Source organism: Homo sapiens, chromosome 15 (genome assembly GCF_000001405.40).
Source record: "Homo sapiens chromosome 15, GRCh38.p14 Primary Assembly".
NCBI lineage: Eukaryota > Metazoa > Chordata > Mammalia > Primates > Hominidae > Homo > Homo sapiens.
In genome coordinates, this window is record NC_000015.10 from 72898743 (window position 1) to 72908374 (window position 9632).

Below are 9632 nucleotides of genomic sequence, written 5' to 3' on the forward strand. Positions count from 1 at the left end.
GGGATTACAGGTGTTAGCCAGTGCGCTCAGCCAGATTCCTAATTTTTAAAATCCTCCTTGTGTATCTTTATCATTTTCATGACTTTCTTTTTCTCTTTTAAAAAGTTTCTCAGATTTTTTTTCGTCCTTGACATCACTATTTGGGTTTCTGAGGGTCAATTCTCTTTTTTACTGTCTCCAATTTGAATTTGCACACAGGTCATTGCATTTCTTAAAAATTTTAGTGCTTCCTTTGGATATGACTTTCTGCTCAAGCTTTAGAGAGCAGAAATGGGATGTCTTCTTGCATGCCTTAATTAAGGATGCCAAGTGATTTTCTATTTTTTTTGATTTATTTTTATTAAAATACTGACTTTTATTTCACATGTATATTTTTGTCTCCCCACCATTTCTATGTCTGACCACTGCTACTACTATGTCCTATCATAACATTCCATACATACTTAAAACCAAGCAAAGGGTGGATTTTCATCTTTAAAAACTAAACAGGCATTTTGGACAACACATTCTTGGCAATGGAACCTGGACAACATTTATCAAACATGGTAGGGAAAGTTCTCACTCTGCATTATAAAAAGTACAGCCAGATAGCAACTGTTAGAGAAATGAAGTAAGATGGAAAATTTTTAACAAATTGTTCAAACGATTTTCTTAAAGAGACTTCCTCCACTGCCAGAGATCTTGAATAGCCTCCTGGTCATTCATCCAGAGACAATTCTTTACATAATTGACGAACTTGGCTTCCATTTTGGGAAACAAACCAGCTTTTTCTATACTTGTTTGCATTTTTGCTTTAATGTCTTCTACAGAACTAGGCCCTTTTGGTGTTTTAGGAGGTTTTTTTTTTTCCTGTTTCTTGAAGGTTTCTTGTCCTTTTGATCTTGGTGTTGACGGTTTTGAGTCTTTTCCATTCTGATTTGACTTCTGTGCATTTTCGGCTGGAGCATCTTTATAGATTTCTTCACCGGTGCTTTTTCTTCAATATCCTCATCATCAAAATCTTCTTCTTCCTTCTTCTCCTTCTCCTTCTTATTCTTCTTCATCAGCGGCAAGTTTTACTTGTTTCTGTGGAACCTTGCTACCACCTCCAGGGGCATCACTTTCCAGATATACTTAAGAGTTTCACATCCTCCTTCTCTTCGTCTTCTGATTCTGCAGCTTCCTCCACAGCTACTAAGTGCTGTCCACTAATATGCACTGGCCCCGAACCAAGCTTCAACCATAAGACCACTGGTGGTGTTATTTCAAAGTCCCCAAGGGAAACCGTTGACTGTACAGACATTTTCAAAGTTGTCAGTCTTACTTTAATTGGACTGTCTTCATAATTCATTGTTTCTGCTTCAACAATGTGCAGTTCATCCTTTGCACCAGCTCCTAAACTGACTGTTCCTAAAGATAACTGGTCTCATTTTCATCATTATCCACCTTAAAGTGATCATCTTTGTTGGCCTTTAGTTCGCAACCAAAAAGATAGCTCTGGGGCCTCAGGGGGCTCATGTCCATGTCCATCGAATCTTCCTTGGGATGGTGGCACACCCTTAGGTGGGAGAGAAGGTGGATGGAGATAAATGACTACTGCTCCAGAGAACAGCCATGCAGGATGGAATCACACCAGGGATTTTTTTCCTGATTTCTATGGTGAATAATATTCTGCTAATCTTATGTTTTTATAAGTTCTACAAAGGCCCTACTCTACAACCCATTTGGTTTCAGTTGACAGCAGGTGAACTTGCACAGCTCAGCCCATGGCTAGCTGAATCTCATAAGGTACAGTCCCTGGGTCTTCTATGATGGAGCACACCAAAAATTTCAATCCCCAACATGCATTGTTACCAGGACTCCTCCTATCTCAGACTCTGCCTGCAGTGTTCTGTGGGAGCAGTGTGTTGCAAGAGGAAAGCACCTTCACCAGCATCTTTCTTCCCCTCCGTCCTGTTCTGGTGTTTTCTAGAAATTGGAATGGCATGTGAAATGGTAATCACTAGTGCCTGGCTCTCATGCTCACTGACCACGCTTCTCCCATTGATAAGTCTCCTAGACTAGAATACAAGATGATATTTTTAAAATGTCTTTAATGATACATTTTATTTCTTTAAAATATATTTGTTGAGCACTTCCTTTATGTAGGGTCCTGTTGTAGGCAATAAAAATAGAGCAGTGAGCAAGAAAGGCATGGCCCTGCCCTCAGGGAGCTTCCATCCTGGGTTTGGTTGAGGATGAATAGGAAACAACTGACAACATAATGAATGACTGTAGGTACAGTTGTGATTAGGGGTTCAGAGAAAACATCCAGACCAAGGAGCAGTGGTGTTGGTGGTGGTTCCCGCATAGCTTTCCCTGAATAATTGGTGTTCGAGTTGAGCTCTAAAAGATCAGAATGAATAAACAAGAAGAGAAGGAGAGTTAGGATGTTTCAGGCATAGATCATATACCAAGAGCCTGAGGCAGGAGGACATGGTGGGTTTGAGGGCATTGTAGAAAGTCGATGTGTCTGGAGCTTGGAGGGGAGAAACAAGAAGAGGTAAAGTCGTGTTCATTGTTGCAACCCCAGTGCTTGGGTGGAGTAGGGGGCTCTATAAATGTTTGTGTCTGATGAGTGGAAGATGGTAGTTGTAGCTAATCTGTAAGGAAGTTCCTGATGGTGGGTGTTGGGCTGCCCTCAGCTCTTTCTTGTCCTTACATTTCTACCAGTAATTAGAGTGACAATGCAGAAGCCATGCCCAGTCGGCCAGGAGATGAGGACATGGGTCAGAGTCAGAGAAGGGCTAAAAGGACAAGCAGCATGTGGCTGAGGCCAAAAGGGAAAGGAAACCACATGGATTTGAAGCAGCTTGGAAAGGTTTGAGATGGGATAGCTTTGGAGGCAGGTCTTGAGGAGTGGAGGAGGAGGAATCTTAACAAGTAGCAGCGAAAGAGGCAAGGAGTAGGAGAATAGAACAAGGTGAACAAAAGCCCCAAGAAGAGACACTGCGGGTGTGGTGGTCCCTCTGGGCTGCAGGACCAGATGTGTGCATTGTGGGGAGGCTGGATGCTGAGATAGACGAGGCAGCATCTCAGCTGCACTCGGTCAGGAAGAATGTGTCCCCAGAATAGATGTGCCCCCTTCTTAGAGCCCATCAGGATAAAGCCTGGGTCAGCCTTACTCTGTGCACCTGCTTTTCACATTCAAGCACTGAGTGAAAAGTACCTGCATATGTCTTTGGGTGGTGAAGAAAAATGGCCAAAACTGGGAAGCCCCAAATCTTCAAATGCAGACTTTGCCTCCCACTGCTTCTCAGTGAACTTGAGAATTTGCCCCATCTCATCACTCAGATCTCATCAGCTCTGAGACCTAGTAAAAACTCTCCTCCCCAAGTCCTAGAGAACCAGAACAAAGGAAAAGAGGACAGACTCCAGCCCTGACTGCAAACCATTAGTTTTGATAAACATCTGTGTTGGTGGCGCCAGGGCTATTCATTCAACCAACATTTCCTGTGTGCCTTCTCCATGCCATGCACACAGGCTGGCATCAGGCGGTGCAGCTATCTCTTTTGCACTGAGAACTGTCATAAACAACACCATTTAGGACAAGAGACATCCAAGGGAGCAGTCTCTGAGGAAGTGGCTTGGCTTCTCTGAGCACCCTGAAGTCTTGGGCATTCATTCACTCTTAGAGGGAGAGAATGGCTGGGAACTGGGGAAGTGAGGCTTCCTCAGAGACTAAGCAGCCACGAGGCTGCAGCTCCCCTGGAACAGGCAGACTTGCACAAACTCCAGTGAATTAGAAGTGTAAATTGAGGAGTTCGACTTGGCTTGCACAGTACAATAAAGATCTGCAAACACTCAGCTCCGTATTGAACCTGAGGCAGGGTGATTAATTCATTATTCGCTTCCCAGCTTGGAAGCAAAAGCTTGTATACCCAGGGGCCAGCATGGATCAGCAGAGTCATAAATCACGCCACTTACAAGTCTAGCAATGAGAAAATCCACTGGCTGGAGGGGGGATGCTCTTCAGGCAGCAACAGCGGCCAGAGGACCGGCCAGTCAAGGCGGGCCAGTCTGCTCTCTGGAGACAGACCGATTGGCCAGGCATTTCGCCTTCCAGCCAAGACGGCCAGCCTCTCGGCCACCCGGCTTGGCGTTTCCTGGCCAGACCACAAGGAAATAAACTCCACTCCACCCAAGAGGAATGCTCCTGTGACCTGAAATGGCCTCTCTCAAATGTAGACAAAGTACTAGGAATAGCATCAGTATCTCTCCAAAAGGCTGCTATTGTCCAATTGGGATAAACCACTCTCCACCCCGCTCCTTGGGCTGTTCTGGGTTCCAAGTCCTTCTGCCCCAGCCAGAGGGCCAGCCTGGTGTCTGCTCAGCATCCTCCAATCCAGGTCCCTGGATATCATCGGCTGCCAACCCTGAGCCAGGGCCTTTGCCCTCCAATCTCTGCTAGCTTCAGGACAGGACGCTTTGGGGATCCGAATTTCATTGAGAGTTGAAAGGTAACAGCCAGCAAAGGGCTCTTTAGCCCCTATTCGAATACAAGGTAGCTCTTTAAATATTTGATAATTCTTTCTCTTCCAAGTAAAACACCCTAGGTTTCCTCAATTATTCCTCATATTTCAAGATTTCTAAAGCCCCTTCAATGGCCAGGAAGTCCTTCCATTTTGATATTGACTATTTCCCACTTTACATTTCCTCTTAATTCTCCAAAATCTCGGAAAGGGACCCAGCACTTCCTGTGTGTTCTTGTTCTTGTCATGAGAGAACAATAACATTAAGACTTATTATGTGCCAGGCACTTTATACTTATCATCTCATTTAAACTTTCATGATGAGCTGGTGAAGTAATTTTTAACTCCAGTTTACAGAGGAGGAAACTGAGGCTTAAAGAGGTAAAACGGCTTGCCAGGATTGAATCTTTGGTCAGCCTGACGCCAGAGATTGTGCTTCTAAAGAACCTTATGATATGCTGTCTCCTTTACCCACAGCCTGACACCCTGACATCTGATTCAGGGCCTGCCACACCTGGTAACCACTTTCCCTGGAGCCAGGCTGAGCTTTGAGAGACTGGCCAAAGCTCTTTTCTTTCTTTTTAAAAAAATTTTTATTTGGCCGAGTGCAGTGGCTCACGACTGTAATCCCAGCACTTTGGGAGGCCAATGCAGGAGGATCACCTGAGGTCAGAAGTTCGAGACCAGCCTGGCCAACATGGTGAAACTCCATCTCTACTAAAATACAAAAATTAGCCAGGTGTGGTAGTGTGTGCCTGTAGTCCCAGCTACTTGGGAGGCAGAGGCAGGAGAATTGCTTGAGCCCGGGAGGTGGAGGTTGCAGTGAGCTGAGATTGCATCACTGCACTCCAGCCTGGGTGACAGAGTAAGTCTCTGTCTCCCCCCACCAAAAAAAAATTATTTTGAAACAGGGACTCGCTGTGTCACCCAGGCTGGAGTGCAGTGGCGTGATCTCGGCTCACTGCTCACTGAAGCCTCAACCTGCTGAACTCAGGTGATCCTCCCATCTCAGTCTCCCAAGAAGCTGGGACCACAGGCACATGCCACTATGTCTGGCTAATTTATTGTTATATTTTGTAGAGATGGGGTCTCCCTCTGTTGTCTAGGCTAAGCCATGTAATTGCTATCCAATTCAGCATCAAAAAAAATAATAAACTAAGGTAAAAAATCAATAACAGCATTGTTCATACTGTTTTCCACCCACTACCTGATCTGAGCATCCCTTCAAATAAAGACAGAAGTCCTTATTTCTCTCATTCTTCTTGCCAGAACAGTCATATGGCCCATGATGCAGTCTCTTTACAACTTCTTTTTGCCTTATTTGATACACAGAGGAGCAGCGTTCTCCCTAATCTATTTATGGAGCAAAAGAACAAGAAAAGAGGATTCTGGCCGGGCATGGTGGCTCACACCTGTAATCCCAGCATTTGGGAGGCTGAGGCAGGCAGATCACTTGAGGTCAGGAGTTCGAGACCAGCCTGGCCAACATGGTGAAACCCCGTCTCTACTAAAAATACAAAATTAGCTGGGTGTGGTGGCGTGCACCTGTAGTCCCAGCTACTCGGGAGGCTGAGGCAGGAGAATCACTTGAACTGGGAGGCAGAGGTTGCAATGAGCCGAGATCATGCCATTTTGCTCCAGCCTGGGCAAAAAGAGTGAAACTGTCTCAGAAAAAAAAAAAAAAAAAAAAAAAGAAAGAAAGAAAGAAAGAAAAGAGGATTCCTTAATAAGAGGGTCTCTAACCAAGGGATTACTGAATTATGCTCATTCTGCTCAGTGTCACCAGACAGATTCCTTACAAAAAAGAGCACTATGACTCAGCCTACCTTGCTCAAGAACAATAATTGTATCTATTAACACCTTCCCATCTTCCAAGAAGGAAGAAAATATTACATGGCTAGAACTGTGGGACCAGGTTCCTGTTGGAGATTTTACCAGGCCCACAACAACACTATGCATGTATTAATAAAACCTCAAGTGAATATTCACAGAGAAATATTCGGATTTTACTTACATGTGCGTTGCATCTGGCATGCTGGTTAAGGCAGGAGGACTTAGGGGAATGGGCTGTTCCTTATACAATGTTCCATCGTCCTGGAAGAAGGTGGGTAATCTGAATGGACAGCCAGGTGAGCCCTGTAGAGCCTGCTTCCTGGCCACACCAAGCCAACCTGAGAGATGATGCAAAAGTTTCAACCTCTACAATACTCTGGCAACCTCAGGGAATTTATGGTTATTCAAAGCATGCCCAGTAGGTTAGGATTGATCCAAATGAATGAGACTATGGAAGCAGGATGCTAGCTGGTGCCTGCCAACCATCCATCAGGATCAACACTGGCTGTGGCGGGGGCTGAGAGCCCATGGAGGCCATGGAGACTGAGGAAAGTCTAGAAAAATTTACATGTGGCTGAAGCCCAGCTGCAAATATCCACAATTACCTGAACTCAGGACGCTGTGTTCTGAAGTTTTGTGTGTTTTAGTTTCATTGCCCAGCATAAATTTACCTATTAGATGTTATGAAACTTAAACTGTAATGGAGCTGAATGTGCTCTGAGAGATTTATCTCACTTCTGCTGTTCAAATGACATCTGCTCACTAAATAAGTCTCGACCTGAACATGTGGCTAATTTTCTCTAAAAATCTGCATTTTCCAAAAAAGTTTTTAAAAACTGAATTAAATAGCAAACTAGAGGTAAAAATACTAAAGCTTCGTGTGTTTTTTAATGAAAACATATGAAATATAAAAATTTAAAAACAGTAATTTAGTGTTAATTTACATATAGTAAAATGCACAAATCTTAAGAGTAGAGCTCCGTGACTTTTTGTGTTATGTATGACTTTTTGCATAGTGGCCACTTCCCAGATGAACAGATAGAATATTTCCATATTCCAGAAAACTCCTTCATACTCTTTCCCAGTGCCTCTCCACCACCAGGTAAGAACTGTACCGATTCTTTCACCACACTTCAATTTGTGCCTGTCCTTGAACTTCATATAAATGGAATTGTACTTATCAATTTCCTGGCAGCTTTTGCTCAATGTAATGTTTTGGAGATTAATCCATGTTGCTGAAGATATCAGTAGTTAATTTCTTTCTATTGCTGAGTAGCAATCCATTGTATGAATATAGCTGAATTTGTTTATCCATTTACCTGTTGATGGACATTTGTTTTCTTTCCAGTGTTTGATTATTAAGAATAAAACTGAGGCTGGGCACAGTGGCTCATGCCTGTAATCCCAATACTTTGGGAGGCAGAGGCAAGAGGATCACTGGAGGCCAGGAGTTTGACACAAGCCTGGGCAACATAGCAAGACTTCGTCTCTACAAAATATTTTAAAAATCAGCCAGGTGCACTGATGTGCACCTATAGTCCTGCTTACCTGGGAGGCTGAGGCAGGAGGATCACATGAGCCCAGGAGTTCAAGGTTACAGTAAACCATGGTCATATCACTGCACTCCAGCCTGGCTGACAGAGCAAGACCCTGTCTCTAAAAAAAAATTTTTTAGGCCAGGCGCAGTGGCTCACGCCTGTAATCCCAGCACTTTGGGAGGCCAAGACAGGTGGATCACGAGGTCAGGAGTTTGAGACCAGGTTGGCTGCCACAGCGAAACCCTGTCTCTACTAAAAATACAAAAAATTAGCTGGGCATGGTGGCGGGCACCTGTAATCCCAGCTACTCAGGAGGCTGAGGCAGGAGAATCACTTGAACCTGGAAGGCTGAGGTTGCAGTGAGCTGAGATTGCACCACTGCACTCCAGCCTGTGCGACAGAGCAAGACTCCATTTCAAAAACAAAACAAAACAAAGACCAGCTTGGCCAATATGGCAAAACCCTGCCTCTACCAAAAATACAAAAAATTAGCTGGGCGTGGTGGTGTGTACCTGTAGTCTCAGCTACTCAGGAGGCTGAGGTGGGAGGATGGCCTGAACCTGGGAGGTGGAGGTTGCAGTGAGCCAAGATCCTGCCACTGCACTCCAGCCTGCATGATAGAGCCAGACTTTGTCTCAAAAAACACTTAAAAAAAAAAACAAACAAACTGGATATGAGTTTTTTTGTTCATACTTGTTACAGAAGTCTTTTTGTTTTAAAATACACTGGTATATACCTAGGAGTAGAACTTTATTAGAAACTGCCAAGCGGCATACAGTAAGTTTAGAAATAACTATAGACATGTGAAATAAAAGAACTTTTAAAAATTTTGCTTAATTATTGATAAAATATTTTTTAAAAATTGGTAAAATAGGAAGAATCATCTAACATTCAAAATGCTTTATAAAGTAATTTTATCCTATATAAAATGCTACAAATGTTCTCTGATGATATACATTTTCAATGGTTGGGACTTTAAGCAAGTTGACTTTAGGCAAATAGGTCTTAGGCAAATTGGCCCAAAAGCTCAATATAGATTCTTGTCAAGACAGGTCTCCCCCATTCTGTACTGGTGTAATTGAATTTTTAAACAATGCAGACTTGACATTCATCCCTGTAGGTTTCATACCAGTAGGAAGTACATGTATATTTATGCACAGGGATATATGGGATTAGGATGCTGGAACAAGTAGACACTTGGTGGAAGGAGGGAAAGGAATTCCTGGCCCTGCTCACAGAGCTCTGGGGAGACTGATAATGGGCCATGAGTTGGCAGGATGCCCAGGGAGTTAAAACCTTGCTGAGCCAGGGCAGGGGCCTAAGCAGGGGAAGGTCCTGAAGGGGCTCATTTGGCTCAGTGGGGCCTGCCTGGCAATGTTGGGACCAGTTTGTGGGGAGGAGCTGGGGGTGTCATTACAATTAATGAGGAGAGTAAGGCAGAGGTTGTCTCTGGGGATAGTGGCATAGAGAACTACGTAACTGAGAGGGTCCACAGTGTCAGTGGGCTGTGCAAGTTAGCATTTGTCTGAGAGGAAAGAAAACTGTTCTGGAATCAACCCTAAACAGTTTTTGTCCTGGTTGCAGATGTTTCAAACTTTCATTTTAAAAATATGTCAGCACATGTGATTGCAAATTTTATTATTATTATTATTAAGATGGAGTCTTGCTCTGTTGCCCAGGCTGGAGTGCAGTGGTGCAATCTGGGCTCACTACAACCTCCACCTCCTGGGTTCAAGCGAATTCTCCTGTCTCAGCCTCCCGAGTAGCTGGG

At 44.0% G+C, this 9632-nt stretch overlaps 1 pseudogene, besides 1 other annotated feature; it reads right to left on the reverse strand.

The window, feature by feature from the left end:
- Positions 1-354: 354 nt before the first annotated feature.
- Positions 355-1534, reverse strand: NPM1P42 (nucleophosmin 1 pseudogene 42; annotated as a pseudogene).
- Positions 8832-9032: a silencer, noted in NCBI's record as "peak2382 fragment used in MPRA reporter construct". NCBI's record gives its function as "represses an SCP1 promoter by STARR-seq MPRAs in K562 erythroleukemia cells {active_cell/tissue: K562}" and the evidence as "EXISTENCE:reporter gene assay evidence [ECO:0000049][PMID:32103011]".